Raw genomic sequence first — 26,787 nt, forward strand, 5'->3', positions numbered from 1 at the left:
CCACAAAAATGTCTCCAAAGTTGCTAGACAGGTCAACATGCTAATATAAGAAACTCAGAAAACCCCTGTACGGTACTATACAAAACGACCATCATCAAGGCAGAGTCATCAGACTTTCCAAGGTCTATGTAAAAGAAAAAATCTTAAAGACAACTAGAAAAAGAGTCATATCACCTATAAAGGGAACCTCATCAGGCTAACAGCAGACTTCTCAGTAGAAATCTTATAAGCCAGAAGAGACTGGAGGCCTATATTTAGCATCCTAGGAGAAATTCCAGCCAAGAATTCCATATCCCACCAAATTAAGCTTCATAAGCGAAGGAGAAATAAAATCTTTGCAGGATTAGCAATTGCTAAGGGAATCTGTTACCACTAGACTGGCCTTACAAGAGATGCTTATGGGAGTTCTAAACATGGAAACAAAAACAGTATCTGCTACCACAAAAATACACGTAAGTACACAGCCCACAGACCCTATAAAACAACTACACAATCAAGGCTACAAAGCAACCAGCCAACAGCACCACCGCAGGAAAAAAATCTCACGTATCATTAACCTTGAATGTAAACAGTCTAAACACTCCACTTAAAAGACACAGGGTGGCAAGTTGAATTTAAAAATGAAAAAAATAAAAAAAGACCCATCCTTCTGCTATCTTCAGGAAACTAACTCATACCCCCAGCCTCAAAGTAAAGGGATGGAGAAAGATCTATCATGCAAATGAAAAACAAAAAAGAGCAGGGGTTGCTATTCTTGTTTCAGATAAATAAACTTTAAACCAACAGCAATAAAAAAGGACAAAGAGGATCATTACGTGATAAAAAGTTCAATTCAACAAGAAGACTTAACTATCCTAAATGTATATACACCCAATATTGTAGCACGCAGATTCATAAAACAAGAACTTCCAGATGGGTACTAAAGCAAGTCTCAATAAATTTTTTTTTAATCTTAATCATGCCAAGTATGTGCTTGGACCACAGTGAAATAAAAATAGAAATCAATACCAAGATAAACACTCAAAACCACACAATTACATGGAAACGAAACAACTTCCTCCTGGATGACTTTTGGGCAAACAACGAAATTAAGAAAGAAAACAAAAATTCTTTGAAACAAATGAAAGCAGAGGTAAAATACACCAAAATCTCTGATATGCAGCAAAATTAGTGTTAAAAGGAAAATTCACAGCACTAAATGCCTACCTACATCAAGAAGATAGAAATGGCTGGAGGCAGTGGCTCATGCCTGTACTTCTTGCCCTCTGAGAGGCCAAGCAGATGGCTTGAGGTCTAGAGTTCGAAACCAGCCTGGGCAACATAGCAAGACTCCTGTCTCTACAAAAAATTTCAAAAAATAAAATAAATAAATTGCTGTAGTCCCAGCTACTTGGGGAGTGCTGAGGTGGGAGGATTGCTTGAACCCAGGAGGTCGAGGCTGCAGTGAGCAGAGATTGTGCCTCTGAATTCCATCCTGGGTGATAAAGTAAGACCCTACCTCAAAAAATAAAATAAAAAGAAGAAGAAGAAGACAGAAAGGCCTGGGCATGGTGGCTCATACCTGTAATCCCAGCATTTTGGGAGGCCAAGGCAGGAGGATCACCTGAGCCCAAGAGTTCAAGACCAGCCTGGGCAATAAAGCAGGACCCCATCTCTACCAAAAAAAAAAAAATGCTGAAAATCAGCCAAGCATGGTGGCATGCACCTGTAATCCTAGCTACTCAGGCTAGGGCAGGAAGACTGTTTGAGCCCTGGAGCTTGAGGCTGCTGTGAGCTATGATCGTGCTACTGACCTCTAGCCTGGCTGACAGAGTGAGACCCTGCCACCAAAAATAAAAAGAAATGAAAAGAAGATAGATCTCAAACTATCTAATATCGCATCTAAAGGAACTAGAAAAACAAAAACAAACAAATCCCAAAATTAGCAGGAGAAAAGAAATACCTAAAATCAGAGCAGAGCAAAAAGAAGTTGAGACCCAAAAAGCCATGTAAAGAAAACCATATAGTGAAATGAAAAGTTGTTTCTTGGAAAGGATAAACAAGATTGACAGGCCATTGGCTGGATTAACAAAGAAAAAAAAAGAGGGAAGATCCAAATAAGCACAATCTGAAATGACAAAGGTGACATTACGACCAACCACACAGAAATACAAAAGATCCTCAGAGACTATTCTGAATACCTCTATGCACACAAACTAGAAAATCTAGAGAAAATGAATAAATTCCTGGAAACACACAACTTCACAACTGAAGAAGGAAGAAACTGAAACCCTGGACAAGCTAATAATGAACTCTGAAATTGAACCAGTTATAAAAAACCTACCAACCCCAAAAAAGCCCTAGTCAGGCACAGTGGCTCACACCTATAATCCCAACACTTTAGGAGGCTGAGGCAGGCAGATCACTGAGGCCAGGAATTCAAGACCAGACAGGCCAACATGGCAAAACCCCATCTCTATTAAAAACACAAAAAATTAGCCAGGCATGGTGGCACACGCCTGTAATCCCAGCTAATCGGGAGGCTGAGGCATGAGAATTGCTTGAACACAGGAGGCAGAGGTTGCAGTGGGCTAAGATTGCAGCACTGCACTCCAGCCTGGCCAGTAGAGTGAAGCTCTGTCTCAAAAAAAAACAAAAAAAAAAAACAAAAAAAAAAAAGCCCTAGACCAGATGGATTCCCAGCCCAATTCTACCAGAGATACAAAGAAGAGCTGGTACCAATCCTACTGAAACAATCCCCAAAAATTGAAGAGAAGGGACCCCTTCCTAACTCATTCTACAAAACCAACATATTGTGATACCAAAATCTGGCAAAAACACAACAAAAAAAAATACTGTAGGCCAATATCCCTGATAAACATAGACACAAAAATCCTCAAAAAAATACTAGCAAACCAAATCCAGCACCACATCAAAAAGCTAATTCACTGCTTCAAGCAAACTTTGTTCCTGGGTTGCAATGTTGGTTCAACATACGAAAATCAGTAAGTGTGATTTAACACATAAACAGAATTCAAAACAAAAACCACATGATCATCTCAATGGCTGCAAAACAAGCATTTGACAAAATCCAACATTCCTGCATGATAATAATCCTAAACAAACTACGCATTGAAGAACATACCTCAAAATAATAAGAACCATCTATGCTAAACCCACAGCCAACATAATACTGAACAGACAAAAGCTGGAACCATTCCCCTTAAGAAAAGGAACCAGACAAGGATGCCCACTCTCGCCACTCCTATCCAGCATAGTACTAGAAGTGCTAGCAAGAGCAATCAGGCAAAAGAAAGAAATAAAAGGCATCCAAATAGGAAGAGAGGACATCATATGTTCTCTATTTCAGTAAATTTTCAGAACACAAAATCTACATACAAAAATCAATAGCATTTCTATAAACCAATGATGTTCAACCTGAGAGCCAAATGAAAAACACGATTCCATTTACAACAGCCACACAAAAAAATAAAATACCTAGGAATACACCCAACCAAGGAGGTGAAAGATCTGTACTAGGAGAACTACAAAACACTGATGACAGAAATCACAGACAACACAAACAAATAAAAAAAATTCCATGCTCATGGATTGAAAGAATCAATATCGTTAAAATGTCCATATTGTCCAAAGCAATCTGCAGATTCAACCCCATTCCTGTCAAATTACCAACAGCATTTTTCTTTCACAGAAGAAAAAAAACTATTATAAAATATGGAACCAAAAAAAGAACCCAAATAGACACAGCAATCCTAAGCAAAAAGGACAAAGCTGAAGGCATCATATTACAACCAACCGCAAACTATGCTAATAAGGCTACAGTAACCAAAAGAGCATGGTACTCCTACAAAAAAAAGACACACAGACAAATGCAACAGAATAGAGAACCCAGAAATAAAGCCACATACCTACAACTAATCGATCTTCAACAAAGTCACAAAAATAAGCAATGGGAAAAGGGCTCCCTATTCGATAAAGTGTGCTAGGAAAACTGGCTAACCATATGCAGAAGAATTAAACTGGACCCCTATTTATCACCATATACAAAAAAAAAGCTCAAGATGGCTTAAAGACTTAAATGTAAGACTGCAAACTATAAAAATCCTGGAAGAAAACCTAGGAAATAGCCTTATGGACAGCAGCCTAGGCATAGAATTTATGTCTAAGTCCTCAAAAACAAAAATTGACAAGTGGGACATAATTAAGCTAAAGAGCTTCTGCACAGCAAAATAAACTATCAACAGAGTAAACAGACAACCTACAGAATGGGAGAAAATATTCACAGACTATGTATCTGAAAAAGGACTAATATCCAGAATCTACAAGGAACTTAATTCAACAAGCAAAAAACAAATAAACCCATTAAAAAGTGGGAAAAGGACATGAACAGACAGTTATCAAAAGAGGACATACAAGTGGCCCAACAAGAATGAAAAAATGCTCACCATCAATTACCAGGGACATGCAAATAAAAACCACAATGAGATACCATCTCATACCAGTCAGAATGGTTATTACTAAAAAGTCAAAGAATAACAGATGCTGGAGAGGCTGCAGAGAAAAGGGAATGCTTATACACTGTTGGGGGGAATGTAAGTTAGTTTAGTCACTGTGGAAAGCAATTTGGAGATTTCACAAAGAACTAAAAATAGAACTACCATTTGACCCACAATCCCATTATTGGAAATATACCCAAAGGAACACAAATCATTCTACCAAAAAGATACCCGCACTTGTATGTTTACCACAGCACTATTTACAATAGCAAAGACATGGAATTAACCTAGGTGTCCATCAATGGTGGACTAGGTAAATAAAATGCAGTACATATATACCATAGAATACTATGCAGCCATAAAAAAGAATGAAATCACATCCCTCGCAGTAACATGGATGCAGCTGGAGGCCATTATCCCAAGAGAATTAACGCAGAAACAGAAAACCACCTATCACATGTTCTCACTTATAAGCTGGAGCTAAATTTTGGGTACACACAGACATAAAGACAGGAACAAACACTGGGGACTCCAATAGGAGGAAGAGAGGAACAAGGGCAAGGGCTGAAAAACTCCCTATTGGGTACTATGTTCACTATCTGTGTAATAAAACCAACAGAAGCCCAAACTCCTGCCTCACACAATATACCCTTATAACAACCTGCTCATGTTACCCACTGAACCTAAAATTTAAATTTAAATTAAAAAAGCAAAAGGAAAGCCACAGAAAATATTTGCAACCCATATATCTGGCAAAGGACTTATATCTGGAATATATAAAGAACTATTTTGTCAGGCAATATTTGCTGATACAAATAAAAATTTTTTTTTAAAACTGTTACAGTTCAATAAGATAACACAGTATTTTTTAAACCTGGGCAAAAGATCTGAACTTTACAAAACAAAATATGTAAGACCACGAAGCACATAAGTTGCTTAACATCATCAATTATCAGGAAAATGCGAGTTAAAACCACAATGAGATCCTAGTATACATTCATTAAAATAGCTAAAATTGAAAAGAGTGACCGTATCAAGTGTTCCTGAGGATGTAGAGGAACTGGAACCCTCATACTGTGGTTTTACCAGTATCTACATCTATCAAACCTCAGATTCTTCCAGGCAGGTGGCTCATGCCTGTGATCCCAGCACTTGGAGGCCAAGGCGGGTAGATCACTTGAGCCCAGAAGTTCAGGACCAGCCTGGGCAACATGGTGAAACCCTGTCTCTAGAAAAAATACAAAAATTCGCCATGCATGGTGGTGTGTGCCTGTAGTCCCAGCTACTAAAGAGGCTGAGAGGAGAGGATCGCTTGAGTCCAGGAGGTGGAGGGGGCTGTGAGCTGTGATGGCGTCACTACATTCCTGCCTGGGTGAGAGTGAGACACTGTCTCAAAAATTAAAATAAATCATCAGAGTGTACAATTTAAATGAATGCTGTTTTATATAAAATTATATCTCAATATGTTGTTTTTTTAGCTAGATGCTAAAGTGAGATGCTGGTATAAGTCTGTAGTTTGTATTAATAACATAATCCAAATATTTGTGTTCATCAATATGGCCTTGTTCTCAGCAATGAACTTTATCAAAAACCCAGGTTATACATTTGATACATTTAAAAATATATGCCAAAAAAATCACTTTAATCTCATTTGTATATTATGGTAGGAGTTCTTTCCAAAAAAATTTTTTACTATGTGGAGGCCAAAGCAACTCCATCTTGGATGCTAATCTGCCTATGTTGACTTCTGATTAACCCCAGTTCTGGGAAGGCCTCTAAGATTTCTAGTTTATCTACTGTTCTTTGTGTAAGAGCATGTCCTAACTATAAATCCTGCCCAAAGGTAAAAACAACCTTGATGTGATTGTACTTACTTGTTCTACTTAACCCTTCTGAATCACCTGTTTCCTGTGGTTTATAAGCCCTGGCCTTGGGAGTAATGGTGGGGATCCACCATCTTATCTCACTGCCACCTGACAAGCAGGACTGGTTTCTTTTTAAGTCCCTATTAAATATATCTTTCTAAGAAACCGGATTTGTCAGTCTCTTTCTTTGGTTTCTTTGCTTCCTTGGACTTTGAGAATAGGTTTGCATAGGCCTGCCCACCACAAAACATGCTACTTTTAAAATTTTTTTGAAAACAACTATCAATTGAGCCAAATCACCAATTTCTACATTCCTGGTATAATAAAATGACCATTAATATTTAGAATAAAAACCTTAGTCATTGAACAACTCTCAATAAAAAAGGATATTTATACAATGGAACTGCAGACAGTAGGAACAATCTGTGCAAATGTAAATATATTAATCAAAAAAGCACATATGGCAAACTATAAATAAATCAGAATGGCTAGAATATGAGCTGTGGTAAGAAATGCCAAATGCAGTTGGAGAAAATGAAAGGGTCAAAATCCTAAAAAAACCTGTGAAACATACTAAAGATTATAAAGGCAATGGAGATATAGTAAAGAATTTTAAGCATGGCAATAAAATTATCAGAGTTTAGAAAAACCACTCCCACGGCTGATTATAGCTCTGGCCTGTAATCCCCACCCCAGCACTTTGGGAGGCTGAGGGTGGCGGATCACTTGAGGCCAGGAGTTCAAAATCAGCCTGGCCAACATGGAGAAACCTCATCTCTACTAAAAATAGAAAAATTAACTGGGGTTGGTGGCGGTTGCCTGTAATCCCAGCTACTCGGGAGGCTGCGGCAGGAGAATCGCGTGAGCCCAGGAGGCAGAGATTGCAGTGAGCTGAGATCATGCCACTGCACTCTAGCCTGGGCGACAGAGCGAGACACCATCTCAAAAAAAAGACTGAGAATGAACCATGATGGGCTTCAAAGAACAAAAACACAGGGTCATGTATGCCAAGTAAAGGAAATTTTCTAAGTTATGAGTGCTTAGATGTCACATAATGATTAGAATGGAAAATCACTATTTGATTAAGAGTGCTAGCCAGGTGCAGTGGCTCATGCCTGTAATCCCTGCACTTTAGGAGGCCGAGGCGGGAATATCACTTGAGGCCAGGAGTTCAAGACCAGCCTGGACAACACAGTATGACCCTGTCTCTACAAAAAATAAAATTTAAAAAATAGCCAGGCATGGTGGCAAGTGCCTGTAGTACCAGCTACTCGGGAGGTTGAGGTGGGAAGATTGCTCGAGACCAGGAGGTCGAGGATGCAGTGAGCTATGATTGCACCACTGCACTCCAGCCTGGATGACTGAGTGAGACACAGTCTTAAAAAGCAAACAAACAAAAAACAGTGCTGAGGGAGGACTCCAGACTGCAACAAAGTGGATAGGAAAAAATGGATTCAAGTATAGATTCTTTTAAAAAGTCAGCTGAGAAAGGGAAGAGGGAATGCAAAACAGAAAGAAGGGTACGGGGTTTTTTTCAGCGGGAGGGGATTATTTAACAAGTTTAGGTATGTTTACAGGCTCAGGACAAGAACCTAGTTAAACCACAAAGCTTGACAATAATAGAAACGATATAAGTGAAATTAAGTTTCTGAAAGAAGAAAATAAAAAACAAAGAGATCAGCCTTGAACTGAAGACATCACTTAGAAATAAATAGCTATGACCAAGAAAATCTATAAATTCCATTATCTCCATTGCTTTGTAAGAAAAAGTGCTTCAAAAAAGCCACACAAAGATGTGCACTATAAACACATTTTTGTATTCATGTATCTTAACCCAACATGTAAATTTCCTTACTATCTTCTATTTCAGACCAATTCAAGCAACAAATATTTCAACTTTCGATGTTTCTCACCTAAGCTACTGTTTTTGTATCCAATTTTTACTCTTGCAAGATTAAATATTTTTATGAATAGGAAATGTAATAATAATTGCCAATTAGCTAATATGTCATGTGAAGATATGTAATCTAGGAAAGTACCATTTTCCTTTTAATATTCTTTATATGCAAATACAAAAAGTCTTAGTCTAATGGTTCAGTTATACATCAAAACATTTATAGATAGGGTTATAAAGTTACAAAACCATCAAAACAAACCACTATAGAAAAATGTGGGAGATTATGTATTTGATATTAAAAAATCCATTAATTAGGTATACTACAAGCTTAGATACGTCTTCAGTTTTTGTTTAAAGCAATTTTCAGTTTTCTTCATCATGAGAATGGGTCCATCTAGTGGTAAGTAAGCCACAGTTTTTAACTAAATATTAGCTCACAATTAACTATTTCAAGGCAACTTCTATTCAAATTTTTCCAGGCAAGCTAATATAATGAAATAAATGTATATGGCATTTACAATCAAACTAGGGAAAGAAACTCCCCAACAAATAGACAGAGAGATTAGCTATAGCTATACATGTTGGGGCAGTTTATAAAGGGGCTGGTGACAATGTATCTTTTTAAATAAAGCCTGATCTCAACATACACTATTTTGGAGGGTGTGGGGGGTATAGACAGGGTCTCTCTATGTTGCCAAGGCTGGTCTTGAACTCCTGGGCTCAAGAGATCCTTGGCCTTGGTCTTCTGGGATTGTAGGCATGAGCCACCACACCTGGCCCACAATTTTATTTCTATCTCACTAGCTAGATAAATTTTTTAATGCTAAAAATCCTAATTATTTGATCAGTCTAATTAGGTCAGTAGTTCTTTTTTTTTTTTTTTTTTTTTTTTTTGAGACGGAGTTTTGTTCTTTTTGCCCAGGCTGGAGTGCAATGGAGCAATCTCGGCTCACTACAACCTCTACCTCAGCCTCCTGAGTACCTGGGATTACAGGCATGCGCCACCACGCCTGGCTAATTTTGTATTTTTAGTAGAGACAGGGTTTCACCATGGTGGTCAGGCTGGTCTCAAACTCTGACCTCAGGTGATCCACCCGCCTCGGCCTCCCAAAGTGTTGGGATTACAGGCGTGAGCCACTGCACCGAGGATTCAGTAGTTCTCAACTGGGGAAGATTTTGCCCCCCAGGGGACATTTTGTAATGTCTAGAGACAATTTTAATTGTTACAATTTGTGGGATGAAGTTGAAGTCCAGCCTGAACAACATAGCCAGACCTGGTCTCTAAAAAATTATTTAATATAATACAATAAAGGCAAAAAAAATTAATGCAGTTGTTCCTCAGACTCCTCAGGGGATTGGTTCTGGGATCCCCCTCAGATACCAAAATCCTCCGATGCTCAGTGCTCAAGTGCCTTGTATAAAATGGCATAGTATTTGCATATGACCTATGAACATCCTGCCGTTTTCTTTGAATCACCTCTAGGTATTACTTATAATACCTAATGCAATGTAAGTGCTATGTGAACAGTTACTATACTGTATTTGTTGTTTTGAAAAAAGCAGGTTATTTATATGGTACAGTATGCAGCTATTATTTAACAGAACAATATTATGAGATATACATGAAATATGTTAAGGATGTGTGTATATATATTCATACATTTATATGAATATATATAACAGTCACACATACATACACATATATTGAGGTATATGACTAGAACCTACACAGCTTAAGGTAATACTGAGGCCTTTATCTGAATAAGTAAAAACAACTCACAGAAGTGTTTTCTCATTTGAGAGAAGCCATTATAGGGGTAAACATTAAATATGCTTAATGAATTCAAAGGAGGGCAGTCAAGCAATTTTAACCTCTGGCATTAGATGTCATGATTTTAGAAAGATTCATACTCCAGGTTTAGGAAAACAAATTCATCCTTGTTATAAATTGTGCAGTTGTATTCTTAGAAGAACTGATAAGAAAAACTTCTAATTGTTTTGAGTGTTTACAGGTTATAAAATTTATAGAACCTAGTGATATATATATATTTTGTTTTATATTCCCGGCAGTGATTCTGTTCATGTGGATTGAATTGGAAACATTTGCTTTGGGCCTGCCAAATTTTGGAGCACAGGATGTATTGCCAGTTATTTCTTATAGTATTACTGTAGAGACAATAACAGAAACTAGTCTCAGAACTGATTGCTGATAACACCTTTCTAAATAAAAAGCACTAAAGAATCAAGCTTAAGTAGTCTTAGGATCTGAAAATACTGTCCTGCTTTTATAGTACTTTCATTTATTTTTAGTTTCAGAGAAGGAATTTTTATCAGCCTTGCACAAACTCTTGCTGATCAATATTTGTGACCAGTAGTAAACATTTGTGATGTGGCAAAGGTTAGACTCAGGTTTCTTTTCAAAGCTGTCTTGGTTTTAAAAAAAAATCCCAGCCTGGGTGACATAGTGAGACCTGGTCTTTAAAAAAAAAAAAAGTAATCTTTGAATTAGCTGATATAATTGTTAATTTATCAATTACAGTTGACAACTGATTCAGTTATCAGTTGATAATTGGTGAGGCTGTGGGCTAATGCTGTAGGCTTCATGGAAATATAAAGTTCTTGAAACACACAGAAGCTTGAAACCTTTTCTAATCCTTAGCAGTAACTACAGCTTCATAGTCCCTTATCTGAAACCCTTAGAACCAGATGTTTTCAATTTTTACCATACTGTTAGCTTCTCTGGGGCAGTACTCTCAAATTTTTTTTTTATTATGGAAATTTGCAGACATACCCAAAGCAGTGAGAATAGAAAAATGAAACCTCATGTATCCATCATCCCTCTTTGGTAATTATCATTTTGCTGATTTTTTTTCATCCTCCACCCTTAATAATATTTTTGGAGTAAATTGGCCTTCCTATATCTGTATTAAAAATATTTGGGAAAAAACTCAATAAAAAATACAGTAAAAAATAATACAAATTTAAAAATACAATATAGTAACTGTTCACATAGAACTTACATTGTATTAGGTATTATAAGTAATACCTAGAGGTGATTCAAAGAAAACGGCAGGATGTTCATAGGTCATATGCAAATACTATGCCATTTTATACAAGGCACTTGAGCACTGAGCATCAGAGGATTTTGGTATCTGAGGGGGATCCTAGAACCAATCCCCTGAGGAGTCTGAGGAACAACCACATTAATTTTTTTTTTGCCTTTATTATTATTATATTAAATAATTTTTTAGAGACCAGGTCTGGCTATGTTGTCCAGGCTGGACTTCAACTCCCAGGCTCAAGCAGTCTTTCCACCTTAGCTCCCAAGTAGCTGGGACTACAGGCATGTGCCACTGGGCCCAGCTCTTACTATTATTTTTAATTTATACATAATAACTGTATTATAAATATATAAATACATATTTATGGGGTAGAGTGTGATATTTCAATACATGTCTACAATGTATAAAGATCAAATCAGAGTAATTAGCATTTTAATGACCTTAAACTACATTTTAGAGCAAGTCACAGACATGTCATGTCACTAAAAATGTTTCAATACACATCTCTAATAAGGACTCTGGGTTTCATATGATTACCATGCAATAATTATACCAAAAGAAGAGTTATAAATTCCTTAACGTCATCTAGAACCTAGTTTGTTTTTAGATTTCCTCAATTACCTTAAAAAAAAATTTTTTTTTTTGAGATGGAGTCTCGCTCTGTCACCCAGGCTGGAGTGCAGTGGCGCAATCTCGGCTCACTGCAAGCTCCACCTCCCGGGTTCATGCTATTCTCCTGCCTCAGCCTCCCAAGTAGCTGGGACTACAGGCGTCCGCCACCACGCCCAGCTAATTTTTTGTATTTTTTTATTAGAAACAGGGTTTCACCATGTTAGTCAGGATGGTCTTGATCTCCTGACCTTGTGATCCACCCGCCTCGGCCTCCCAAAGTACTGGGATAAAGTTAATGTTTCAAACCAGGATCCAACAATACCTACAAACTGCATTTTTTGTTAGGTATCTCAAGTGTCCCTGATTCGCTCTTTTAAATGCAATCAATATGATGGAAAAGCCTAGCCACTGTTCTATGAAATGTTCCACATTCTGGATTTATCTGATTGCATCCTCATGGTTTCAATTAGCTTGTTCTCTTATCTCCCATATGTCTTGTAAATTGATAGTTAAATCCAGAGACATAATTAGATTCACTTTTAAGACTTTAGGTAAGAATATTTTATAGATGGTACTGTGTATTTTCTTTCATACCACATCAGCAAGCACATAATGTTTGGCTGTCCCACTTTTAGTGGTACTAACATAAGTGGGTTCAAGTGGTGGCTGCTCATTTCTTCTGTTATAAAGTTTTCCATTTTGTATTTTACTTAATGATTTTACTGACCATTGATGATTGTTGTTTCCAGGTTGTTTTTTTGTTACCAAGGGAAGCTGTGGTGAAATTCCTTTCACATAACTCTTTATGTCCATCTCTGACTACTTCCTTAAAATAAGTTCGTAGTCTTGATGAGTCAAGAGAAACACTTTTAAGGATCTTGAGAAATACCACCATGTTCTCTCTCCACATAGCCCTCTGTAGAGACTATACCAATTAACACTCAAAAGTGTATGAATGCACCCATTTTATCCAATCCTTGACACTAACAGACATTATAATTTTTTTTTCCAAGAAGGAAAAGTTTATTGAGTCAGCCACAGAGGAGCAGAGAAACAGACGCAGGGAGGTTCTCTGTGCAGCAGGGTATGCAACAAACATTTACCTGATGAAGAGAACAAAACCCAAAGGCTCTGTGTAGAAACAGACACAAACACAAGGCCACTTTTACCCACCTAATGTTAGGTGCAACATTACTCTTCCTTACGATCCCTTTTCCTCATAAAACATAGCATTATGTGTTCAACAAACATATCGTAGCTAAATCAGCAAGAGCTATTATAGTGCTCCAACTTAATAAGTTGATTTAAAAAAAAACAGGTGTTCTATGGCCAGTTCACAATTAAAATAGTTTTGTTCCAAGATTCCTTTCTCTGGCAACAAGGCATTTCCAACAAACAGGTCATTCTGTCACCAGGAGCTGGTTTCAGTCCATGGCACAGAGCAACGTGCCCCTGGCAGCCCCAGGGAGAGGAAGGGGAAGCCACCGGGAGGGGTACTCAAGTTATCCTGGAGGCCCTGAGGAGGGGTGGCCAAGGGCCACCTCAATGCTGGGGGGCTCCATCCAGGATAGTGCTGGCTGGCTTCGCATGAGGAGGTGACAAGAACTTTAGGCTGGTCCCCCAACATGCCATGTGCAAGGGCCTTGTTCAACCCAGAACTGAACTGACACCCCTCCCAGGTAATGCAGGGCAAAGTCCCCTAGGAGCTCTCAGAAATATAATTTTTTTAATCTTTGCCAATTTGATGTGGAGTGCAGCTACCAGCATGTACTTTAATTTGTATCTCATTAGCAAGTGAGAAAAATTTTTTTCATGTTTCTTGGCTTCTTGTATTTCATATTCTGTAAATTGCTCTTTCATTGTTTTCCATAATTTTCTATTAAGGAATGCCTCTTTCACTTACTGGTGTATAAGATATCTTCATAAATAAGATTATTAACTTTTTATGTCACATATGCTTCAGATATTTTTCCAAATTTGTCAAAATCTTTTTTTGAGACAGAATTCTTGCTATGTTGCCCAGACCAGTGTCAAACTCCTGGGCTCAAGCAATCCTTCTGCCTCAGCCTCTCAAGTAGCTGGGATTACAGGCATGTGCCACCAAGCCAGACCCCAATTTGTCCAACATCTTTTTGCCTCCCTTCTGTTGTGTCTTTTGTTGTTGTTGTTTTATGTTTTATTTTTTTCTTTGCCCTCAAACATTCTCCTCTCCAATTTTTTTTTTTTTTTAGAGACAGATTCTCACTCTATTGCCCAAGCTGGAGTGCAGGTGTGATCATACCTCACTATAGCCTCAAACTCCTGGGCTCAAGCAGTCCTCCCACTTCAGCCTCTTAAGTAGCTGGGACTACAGGAGTACACTGCTGCACTTGGCTAATTTTTTTATTTACAGAGACAGGGTCTCACTTTGTTACTCAGGATGGTCTCAAACCCCTGGCTTCAAGTGATCCTCCCATCTTAGCCTCCCAAAGTGCTGAGATAACAATGGTGAGCCACTATACCCACCTGTTGTGTTTTTTTTTAAGACAAAAATTTTTCTCTTTTATGTGGCCAACTAGAAACTAATTACAGCAACTAATTACAGATTTCAACTTTAAAGCCAGAAACTGGATTAAAAACCTGGCTTATCCTTGTTAGTATAGCAGTGACAAGAAAAAAAAAGAAAAAACCTGGCTCAACTACTTATTAGATGCATGACCATGGGCGAAGTACTTAACTTCTCTGAGACTCACTTTCCTTATCTATAGTTCCCCAAGTCCACTGAACAAATAATAAGCATTTATTAATACTAGCTTATTAATAAATAAGGGTTCACGCCTGTAATCCCAGCACTTTGGGAGGCCAAGGTGGGTAGATCACTTGAACCCAGGAGTTCAAGACCAGCCTAGGCAACATGGTGAAACAGTGTCTCTACAAAAAATACAAAAATTAGCAGGGTGTGGTGGTGCGCACGCCTATGGTCCCAGCTACTCGGGAGGCTGAGGTGGGAGGATCACTTGAGCCCTGCAGACAGAGGTTGCAGTGAGCCGAAGTCACACCACTGCACTCTAGCCTGGGCAATACGGCAAGACCTTACCTCATAAAAAAAAAAAAAAAACAACTAGCTGTTACTATCATCATTAATAGCCACCATACTTTAAATTCTGACAGCAGTTCTCAAATTTAAGTCTGCATAAAAGCCACCTAATACTTTTCTTTTGAAAATCTAGATTCCTGGCAAAAGTGCAGTGGTGCACGTAGTCCCAGCAACTCAGGAGGCCAAGGCAGGAGGATCAATTGAGGACAGGAGTTCGAGGCTGTAGTGTGCTATAATCATGCCTATAAATAGACACTGCACTCCAAGTGGGCAACATAGCAAGACCCTGTCTCTTAAAAAAAAATCTGGATTCCTAACATTCATCCTTAGACATTTTGATTACGTAGGTCCAGGATAGGCCCTAAAACATACATTTCTAACAAGTATCTTCAAGTGGTTCTGATACAGGCAGTCCAGGAGCACTCCTAAAAGAAAAATACTCATTTATGGATTCTGTCTTTGGTGATATACATGGAATATCCTTCTTTGTTTACTCCAGAATTAAATAAATATTTACTATTTTCTCCTATATTCTTTTTGGTCCTTTTAAAAATATTTAATACACCTAAAATTCACTTATTATGTGGTTGACTAATGGAACACCATTTGGTGAAAAATCACACCTTTCCTCTCTAATTTAAAAACATCTCCTTTACCACCAGGAACTAGTGCTATCAGTTCCATTGCTTTACCATATGATTTAATGACTGGAAAGAAAAATCTCCTCATTACTCTTGTTTTTCAAATTTTTCTTGCTCATAACTTGCATGTCTGATTTGCCAAACTATTTTTTTCTGTGCTCGGTAATATTCAGTGACTTAATAGAGGTGGGGATTTTACAAATTAATTTCAAAGTAATTCTGCCTAACTTTCATTGGGATTTTGGTTAGAACAACATTAAAACTTTGAAATTAATGTGGAAACAAGTAACGTCTCTCCATTTCTTCATGTTTATTTTAATATTTAAATATATTTTCTTCATAAAGACCATCTACATTTATTAGTAAAAATTCCTTGGTGTTTTGTACTTCTGTTATAGAAGAGAGAGGTAGTTTCAAGTGTGAACATGCAACTCAGATTGCTTAGGATATAATCCACACTCTAGCCCTTACTGGCTGTGTGAGTGACCCTTCAGCAGTCTTAACTTTTCCAAGTCTCAGTTTAAGGGCATAACAATACTATCTACCTAATATAATTGCTATGAAAAGAAAATGAGACAATGTGTGTGACATGGTTTACACAAAGACTAGCAGGGAGGAAATGTTCAATATGTGATAGCCAATATTGTTAAGATTAATGGGACTATTTTCTGATTATATTTTCTAACTAATTATTGCTTGTTTCCAGGAAAGTTGCTGATGTTTTCTTTTTTATCTTACGTTCTCAATATATCCCCAAATTTTCTTACTACTAGTTTTTCCGTTAATTATCTAAATAAGGAAAAACATTAGCTACTTAAAATCAAACAAGACACAAAAAAATTTGATGAAAAAAAGTTTTAAAATATTACCAAAAAATTAAAATGAGATGAATAGGAAATATTTTCAAACAGTAGATATATGAATTTACATCATCTAGCCCTAAGAAGAGAAAGAACTACTCAATAAACTGTGCTGAAACAAATGGTTGGTTATGTAGAAAACATTTAATTGGGCAGGCATGGTGGTTCACGCCTGTAATCCCAGCACTTTGGGAGGCCGAGGTAGGCAGGCAGATCACCCGAGGCCAGGAGTCCAAGACCAGCCCAGTCAATATGGTGAAACCCCATCTCTACTAAAAATACAAAAATTAAGCCCGGCACGGTGGCTCACACCTGTAATCCCAGCACTTTGGGAGGCTGAGGCGGGCAGATCACCTGAGGTTGGGAGTTCAAGACCATCCTGACCAACATGGAGAAACCCTGTCTCTACTAAAAATACATAATTAGCCGGGCATGGTGGCACATGCCTGTAATCCCAGCTACTCAGGAGGCTGAGGCAGGAGAATTGCTTGAACCCAGGAGGCAGAGGTTGCAGTGAGCTGACAGTGTGCCATTGCACTCCAGCCAGGGGAACAAGAGCAAAACTCCATCTCAAAAAAAAAAAAAATACAAAAATTAGCAGGGTGTGGTAGTGCATGCCTGTAATCCCAGCTACTCAGGGGGCTGAGGTGGGAGAATCGCTTGAACCTGGGAGGCAGAGGTTGCAGTGAGCCGAGATCACTCCACTGCACTCCAGCCTGGGCAACAGAGTGGGATTCCATCTCAAAAAAAAAAAAAAAGAAAGAAAAGGAAACTTTACATTGCATCCTCAATTTAAACCATATACCAACAGAAATAACAGAAAAGCAAAGTTGGCCAGGCACAGTGGCTCATGCCTGTAATCTCAGCATTTTGAGAGGCCGTGGCAAGAGGATCACTTGACACCAGCAGTTCAAACCAAGCCTGGGCAACATAGTGAGACCCTGTCTCTACAAAAAATAAAAATAAAAATAAATAGCTGGGGGTAGTGGTGTGTGCCTGTAATCCCAGCTACTCAGGAAGCTGAGAAGAGAGGATCACTTGAGCCCAGGAGTTCAAGGCTGCAGTGAGCCAAGATCGCAGCACTGCACTCCGGCCCGGGCGATACAGCAAGACTTTGTCTCAAAAAATAATTTTTCATTAAAAAAAAATTAAATTTAAAACCAAACCTTAAAAATTCTAGAAGACCACTCCTAGCAGCATTGTTTATAAAAGCAAAACAACAACAACAACAAACCTGAAAATAACTCAAAAGTCATTTTCAGTAACTGCCATTTTATGAAAATTTACTTATTAAATTTGTTATTGCCTGCCCTCCTTCCCTCAGCCTCCAGCCCACACTAGAATATGAGCTCTGTAAGAGCAGGATGTTTTTTTCTATTTTGTTCACTGATGTGTTCCACGAGCTGGTGCCTGGTATAGATAGAGTAGCAATCAATAAAAATCTGATGAAGGAATTGTGCATCAACAAGAGTATAAACTGTGGTGTATTTGTATAATGGAATACTATATAGAAGCAAAAATGAACTACAATTACATCACCATACATTGCTCTCAGAAATCCTGAATAAAAAAGAATGAAGTTTCAGAATAATATAGTATAAAATGTAAAATTATAAAATGTAGAAGTATAAAAAATAAATATGTAGTGTTTAGGATAGACTTTCCCAACAGGACACCTGAAGAGAGGAAATCAGGGCTTTATCTAGAAAAATGTAAAAATTATGAAAATACATTTATTACATAATTCACAAGTCAATCTCTCATTTTAATAAACACTACTTGGTCATTATTTAAAACAGAAAAAACTTTCATATCAACTTATTTGCAAACAAGAAAACAGAAACCTAACTGCAAAATAAAATATTCAACAGTGGCAAAGTAAAGCCAAACATACCTATAAGTTCAGGTGGATTTCTTTCATTAAACCGCTCACACAGACGAATAAAGGTCTCAGTATTCTCAGTGGTAGGGCACTCACCATGTCTAGTAATATAGAAAAAGTTTTTTTGAAAAAAGAGATTACAAATTGTGATGAAAGGTTTCAATATTAAAGAATCTTAATATATAACTTACCCTTTACACTGAAGTTTTATATATTTGATTCCTTCTTTTTCTATGTCATTTCGGTCATAGAACCTTGAAGTATTTGTCAGGTCCACCAACAAGCCCATTTTAACCTAAAAAAAAAAAAAAATGAAAGGGCAAATTTACTAGTAACTTAATTTGTTCCCAAATAAGTAGACTAAATGGCAATACTACAGTTCATTCATTTACATTGAGGGAGATTCTGTATGTACTTTGCCCCTGAACAATTGATAATAAAAGTATCACTTATCAAAGTCTTATTCAAGACACTAAAACTAAGCAGGCACTTGATAAAATAAATTAACTCCCAAACTAAGGAAAGAACAGGAATATAAGCAAAACAAATTCTACTGCCAACATCACAAAAGTCTATGCAAAAGAGAAAATGCTAGAGTTTTCTCTAGTGTTTGCTGCATATACCTCTGCACCTGTGATTTATTAGACAAGAGGCTAGAGCAGGAATGGCATCTATCTGAAGTATACCACAACTCAAGCTCTCGGCACAAATCACCCACCCCAGCCTTCCAAGCAGCCACCACCAATAATTCTGTTAATATCTATTGACTACACCATTTTATATCCCAGGCTTAAAAGATGAGACAATCCATTTATATCATATATATGATGTGTATATATATATACATACATATACACACATATACATATACACACATATACATATGTATACATATGCATATATACATACACACATATATACATATGTATACATATGCATATATACACGTATATACATATGTATACATATGCATATACACACGTATATACATATGTATACATGCATATGTGCATATACATGTATACATATATACATATGCATATGTATACACATATATGCATATATATGCATATATACATATACATGTATATGCATATGTATACATATACATATATACATATACGTATATACATATACGTGTATACATATATACACGTATACATACATATACATATACGTACATACATATATACATATACATATATGTATATACATATATACATAAACATATATACATATATACATATAAAACATGTATCTTATTATATATATTTTATATATATGTCCCTTTCTTTGTTATTAACAACTCTTCTATTTTCTGAAAATATACTGAAGCCTCAAGTTACATTTTTTGAAAAGAAACAAGGTTAAAAATAGAGACAATCTTATTAAGAAGATGGTAGTACGGGAAATTTGGCCAGACACAGTGGCTCACGCCTGTAATCTTGGCACTTTGGGAGGCCACGGCAAGAGGATCGCTTGAAAAACCATGTGTTTGGGGGGAAAAAGATTAAAAAATTAAATAAATTTTCCTCTCCTATTCTTTCAGTATCATATAAAAACAAGGTAAATTGTTTAAAAAAAAGTTTCATTTTCTGTAAAACGAACGCATATAAAATCCACACATTCATAAAAAATGTCTAAGTTCTGCCAAAAAATTAAGAACACTACAGAAGCTATATGGAAAGGAAGAAAAGAGAAGCAGACCCAGGAGCAGCAGATTTTAGGAAAATGCCAATAAAAATACATTTCCGGTAAGAAAGAGCTCACCATAAAGTGGCAGACCTATCTCTCATCTACCCAAGAGCTAAGGAGTCTGGAGAAGATGGGGCAGATTACAGGGAAGCAGAAGCAATACAAGGGGGAAAATGCAATGAAGACACACAAAAGCAGTAAAAATGACCCCATGCTGGTAAATTTCAGAAAATGTCAGCACACATTTTCCAGTTCCATAAAGAAACCATCCAAGTAAAGTAGTAAGAAGATTCCCTAAACTGAAATGCTTGGGACTTGAAGTGTTCAAGATTTCAGATTTTTCAATATTTGCATTATACTTACAGGTTGAGCAATCCTAATATGAAAATCCAAAACCTGTAATGTTCCAATAAGCATTTCCTTTGGGCATCATGTAGGTGCTAAAAAAGATTCAGATTTTATATTTTTGGATGAGGGATGCTCAACCTGTACATACTTTAATGGAATACTATAAAGCTGTAAAAAAAAAAAAAAAAAAAAAAAGAACAAGAAGTTCTATGTGCTAATATATGAAGATCTTCAGAGTATACTATTAAGCTGGAAATGCAAGTTTCAGACCAGCATATATAATGTGCTACCTTGAGTGTGCAGGGGAGAACACAGCAATCTGTATTTTTAGTTGCTTACATACACATAAAGAAATTCTGAAAGGATGTATTAAAAAATCTAAAAACAGTGGAACCTGTGTGGTATGTGGTGAGGGACTAGGCAGATAGAGAGCAAAAGTGAGAGGGAGACTTCATGATACCAACCTTTTTTTGTGGATTTTTGAAGTAAGTGAACGTATTGTCTATTTCTAAAATGACAAAAATCACTATGATTTTTAGGTACCATGTGATGCCTAAGAATCACACCTTGGGCAGTTAAATTCTAACACATAGGGTAAAAAAGTATGTACAGTCAAAATTCTCTCATAAATTCCTTAAGTAACCAATGAAGAACAGTATACATGGCCATATGCATATTACTGGAGGCTTAATCCCATCTCAATAAGTCAACCATTGTTGCGGGAAGTCAGGGACCCCTAACAGAGGGACCGGCTGAAGCCATGGCAGAAGAATATAAATTGTAAAATTCCTATGCCTGTCTTTACTTTAATCTCTTAATCCCATCATCTTCGTAAGCTGAGGATGTATGTGGCCTCAGGACCCTGTGATGATTGTGTTAACTGCACAGATTTTTCATGAAGCATGTGTGTTTGAACAGCGTGAGATCTGGGCACCTTGAAAAAAAGAACAGGATAACAGCAATGTTCAGGGAACAAGGGAGATGACCATTGGGTCTAACTGCCTGGGAGCCAGGCAGGACAGAGCCATATTTCCCTTATTGCCAAAAACAGGTAAGAGAAATATCACTGAATTCTCTCCCCAGTAAGGAATATTAATAATTAACAGCCCTGGGAAAAGAATGTATTCCCAGGAGTAGGCCTCTAAAATGGCCGCTCTAGGAGGGTCTGCAGTTGCAGATAAGGGATGAAACACACCCTAGTCTCCTGCACACCCCCAGGCTTGCTAGGATTAGGAAATTCCAGCCTGGCAAATTCTAGTCAGACCGGTTCTCTGCTCTTGAACCCTGTTAAGATGTTTATCGGTGACAACGTGTGCACAGTGGGACAGGGAACTTCCTTAGTAATTCTAGTTTCGCCCTGACCTTGTGATCTCACCCTGACCTTCTGCCTTGTGATCTTTTATTGCCCTATGAAGCATGTGATCCCTGTGACCCACACCCTATTCGTACACTCCCTCCCCTTTGAAAATCGCTAATAAAAACTTGCTGGTTTTGCGGCTCAGGGGGCATCACGGAACCTGCTGACATGTGTCTCCCCTGGACACCCAGCTTTAAAATTTCTCTCTTTTGTACTCTTTCCCTTTATTTCTCAGACCGGCCGACATTTAGGGAAAATAGAAAAGAACCTACGTTGAAATATTGGGGGCTGGTTCCCCCAACAGATTATAGCCAATTTTTCTTTCTGGATTGGAACAAAAACCATTATTACTTCTGTTGAGCTGAAGAAGTTGATTTGCATTCAGGGCCCTTCAGTATGAAAAATCTTTAAAACCTAGAATCACAATCAGCCAGCAAGATAGTCTCACTTAGAAACGCACACCTAAACTGAGGCTAAAAAAAAGTAATAGTAAATTCATACATCTTCCACCTCATTCTGAAGCATATACTCTAATATAAAAAAGAAGACAATTTATACCACATAGGTTGATGGTTGTTTCAATCCCCAAATTTTCCTGCCTGGTATTCATCTTTATTTTCTCTCCTATCAGCACCCCAACTTTCCTCCAAAAGCCACCCTTTCTCCACTTTAATCCTTGAGTTTCTACTCCCTCCCTCTTTCCCCCTTGGGTCCCCACAGGAAAAAAAAAGGCAAGAGAAACAATCTGCACTTTCTTTAATTGATATGCTATATTTTATGTATTATGGGGTATATGTGATATTTTATTACATGCATGTAATGTGTAATGATGAAATCAGGGTATCTGGAGTATCCATCACCTTGAATATTTATCATTTCTATGTGTTAAGAGTATTTCAAGTTCTCTCTTCTAGCTACTTGGAAATACACAATACATCATTGCTAACAACAGTCACCTTACCCTGCTACCAAAAATAAGAATTTATACATTATATCTAACTATATGTTTGCACTAACCAACCTCCCTTCACCATGCTCCTCCTGCCCACACACCCTTCCCACCCTCTGGTATCTATCGTCTATCATTCTACTCTCTATGTCCATGAGATCAGTTTTTTTTTTTTAAGAGATAGAGTCTCACTCTGTTGCCCCGGCTGGAATGTAGTAGCACAATCATAGCTCACTGTAACCTCAAACTCTTGGGTTTAAGTGATCCTTTCATCTCAGCCTCCTAAGTTCTAGGACTACAGATATGAAATCAACTTTTTTGGCTCCCACAGGAGTGAAACTGTGGAATTTGTCTTTCTGTGTCTGGCTTATTTTGGTTAACATAATAAACTCAAGTTCCACCCATGTGCTGCAAAATGATGATTTCATTTTTTCTTCATGGCTGCATAGTATTCCATTGTGTATATATGCCACATTTTCTTTATCCATTCATCCACCCTTTGATAAAATTATTTCTGTTCCTTTGGATAAATACTCAGTAGTGAAACTGCTAGATCGTATAGCAGTTCTACTTTTAGTTTTCTGAGAAATTTCCATACTGTTTTCCATGGTGGCTGTACTAATTTACGTTCCAACCAACAGCATATGAGTTCTCTTTTCTCCACATCCTTGCCAGCATCTGTTGGTTTTTGTCTTTATAATAGTTTTGTTTTGTTTTTTTGAGAGAGAGACAGGGTTTTGCTCTGCCACCCAGGCTGGAGTGCAGTAGCACAATCATAGCTCACCACTGTAACTTCAATCTTCTGGGGTTAAGGGATCCCTCCACCTCAGTCTCCTGAGTAGGTAAGATGGCAGGCACATACCTCATGCCTGGCTAATTTTTTGAATTTTTTTAAAGATGGTGTCTCGTTATGTTATCAAGGCTGGTCTCAAACTCCTGGCCTCAAGTAATCCTCCCATCCATCTCAGCTTCCCAAAGTGCTAGGATTACAGACATGAGCCACTGTACCTAGTCATAAATAGCCATTCTAACTGGTGCAAGATGATATTTCATTGTGGTTTGGATTTGCATCTTCCTGATGATTAGTAATGTTGAGCTTTTTTTCAGCATTTTTTCATATATCTGTTGGCCATTTGTATGTCCTCTTTTGAGAAATGTCTATTCACATCTTTGCCCACTTTTTAATGGGATTTTTTTCCTGTTGTTTCCAGTTCTTTGTATATTCTGGATACTAATCCCTCAGAAGAATAGTTTGCAAATATATTCTCCTATTCAGTAGGTTGTTATTTCACTCTGTTGTTTCCTTTGCTGTGCAGAAGCTTTTTTATTTTATTTTTTGAAACAGAGTCTCACTCGTTGCCCAGGCTGGAGTACAGTGGTGTGAATATGAATCACTGCAGCCTTGACCTACTGGGCTCAAGCAGTCATCCTGCCTCAGCCTCCCAAGTAGCTGGGACCACAGGTATGTGCCACCAAGAAATAAGGTCTCACTCTGTTGCACAGGCTGTTCTCCAATTCCTGGCCTCAAGCAATCCTCCCACCTTGGCCTCCCAAAGTGCTGGGATTACAGGTGTAAGCCACTGTACCCAGTCCAGAAGCTTTCCAGTTTCATATCATCCCATTTGTCTATTGTTGTTTGAGTTGTGTTTTTGAGGTCTTAGCCATAAAATTGTTACTGAACCAATGTCCCACGGTGTTTTCCCTATGTTTTCATCTCAAAACTACTGTTTTCTGCTTTCAGGTCTTACATTTAAAGTCTTTAATCCATCTTGATTTGATTTTGTATATGGTGAGAGATAAAGGTCCAGTTTTATTCTTCTGTATATGGATATCCAATTTTCCCAGCACCATTTATTAAAGAGTGTCCTGTCCCCAATGTATGTTCTTGGTGCCTTTGTCTAAATCAGTTGGCTGTAAATGCATGCATTTATTTCTGGATTCTCTATTCTGTTCCATTAGTCTGTTTTTACACCAATGCCATGCTGTTTTGGTTACTATAGCCTTGTAATACACTGTAAAGTAGTGTGATGCCCACAGCTTTGTTCCTTTTGCTCAAGATTGCTTTGGTTATTCAGGCTCATTTCAGGTTCCATAAAAATGTTAGGATTCAGGTGGGGTGCAGTGTCTCATGCATGTAATCCTAGCACATTGGGAGGCCAAGGTGGGAGAACTGCTTGAGCTCAGGAGTTCAAGACCAGCCTAGGCAACACAGTGAAACCCCATCTTTAAAAAAAGTTTTTTTTAATAAAATTAAAAAGTTAGGAGTTTTTTCTATTTCTATAAAAAATGTCATTGGTATTTTATAGGGATTGCACTGAATATGCAGATTGCTTTGGAAAGTATGGTCATTTTAACAATATTAATTATTCCAATCCATGGGCATGGAGGTCTTTCTATTTGTTTGTGTTCCATTCAATTTCCTTCATCACTGTTCTAGTTTTCCTTGCAGAGATCTTTCACTTCCTTGGTTAAATTTATTCCTGAGTATTTTACTATTTTTGTAGCTATTATAAATGGGATTGCCTTCTTGATTTCTTTCTCAGCTAGTTCAGTATCAGCATACAGAAACACTACTGATTTTTGTATGTTGATTTCTTTTTTTGTGTATTTCTTTCAAAGACAGGGTCTCATTCTTTTGCCCAGGTTGAAGTGCAGTGGCTCAATCATGGCTCACCACTGCCTGGAACACCTGGGCTCAAGTGATCCTCCCACTTCAGCCTCCTGTGTAGGTGGAACTAGAAGAACACACCATTGTGCCTGGATAACTTTTACATTTTTAAAAAATATTTTGTAGAGATGGGGGTCTCACTTTGGGGTCCAGTCTGTTCTTGAACTCTTAGCCTAAAGCAAACCTCCCACCTTAGCCTCCCAAAGCACTTTGGGGTCAAAGGTGTGACCCACTGTCCAGCCTGTATGTTGATTCTGTATCCTTTACTGAATTTCTCATCAGATCTCAGAGTTTTCTGGTGGAATCATTAAGTTTTTCTAGATTTAAGATTATATCATCAGCAATGAGGGACAGTTTGACTTTTTTTCCAATTTGGGTGCCTTTTATTTCTTTCTCTTGCCTGGCTGCTCTAGATAGTACTTCCAATACCATGATGAATAAGTGGACATCCTTGTCTTGTTCTAATTCTCAGGGCAAAAGCTGAAAGCTTTTCCCCAATTAGTATGACGTTAGCTGTGGGCTTGTCATATATGGTCTTTATTATGTTGAGTTATGTTTCCTCTATGCCTAGTTTGTTGAGAGTTTTTATCATGAAGGGATGTTGATTCTTATCAAATGCTTTGTCTGACTCTATTGAGATGATCACATGGTGTTTGTCCTTCATTCTATTGATGTAATGTATCATATTTATTGATTTGCATATGCTGAACCATCATTGCATCAGAGATACTGGCCTGTTTTCTCTTTTTGTTGTGGTTTTGGTATAAACATAATGCTAGCTTTACAGAATGAGTTAGAATTCCCTCCTCTTCAATCTTTTCAGGATTATTTGAGGATTGGTGTTAGTTCTTCCTTAAAAGTTTGGTAGAATTTGGTGGTGAAGGCATCCGGTCCTAGACTTTTTGTTGGGAAATGTTTCATTACTGATTAAATCTCCCTACCTGTTATTGGTCTGCTCAGCTTTTCTATTTCTTCCTGATTCAATCTTGGTAGGTTGCATATATCTAGGAACTTATCCACCTCTGCCAGGTTTTCCAGTTAGTGTATACTTGTTCATAATAGTCTTTGATGGGCCAGGCACGGTGGCTCACGCCTGTAATCCCAACACTTTAAGAGGCCGAAGCGGGCAGATCACGTGAGGTCAGGAGTTCCGAGACCAGTCTGACCACCATGAAGAAACCCCATCTCAACTAAAAAATACAAAAAATTAGCCAGGCGCAGTGGCACATGCCTGTAATCCCAGCTACTCAGGAGGCTGAAGTAGAAGAATCACTTGAACCTGGGAGTGGAGGTCACAGTGAACTGAGATCCCACCATTGCACTCCAGCCTAGGCAACAAGAGCAAAACTCCATCTCAAAAAAAAAAAATAGTCTCTGAT

At 37.8% G+C, this 26,787-nt stretch overlaps 1 protein-coding gene across 5 annotated transcripts in view; it reads right to left on the reverse strand.

The window, feature by feature from the left end:
• Positions 1 to 26,787, reverse strand: part of RNGTT (RNA guanylyltransferase and 5'-phosphatase) — a 353,722-nt gene that overhangs the window by 300,685 nt on the left and 26,250 nt on the right. For all 5 annotated transcript variants that reach the window (NM_001286428.2, NM_001286426.2, NM_003800.5 and 2 more), the window contains 2 exons: positions 18,583 to 18,686; positions 18,404 to 18,492 (listed from right to left, as the gene is read on the reverse strand). In NM_001286428.2, coding sequence (NP_001273357.1) covers positions 18,404 to 18,492; positions 18,583 to 18,680 — 187 coding nt within the window. In that variant the 5' untranslated portion in view covers positions 18,681 to 18,686. The remainder of the gene's footprint in view (positions 1 to 18,403; positions 18,493 to 18,582; positions 18,687 to 26,787) is intronic.

Source organism: Homo sapiens, chromosome 6 (assembly GCF_000001405.40).
Source record: "Homo sapiens chromosome 6, GRCh38.p14 Primary Assembly".
Classification (NCBI taxonomy): Eukaryota; Metazoa; Chordata; class Mammalia; order Primates; family Hominidae; genus Homo; species Homo sapiens.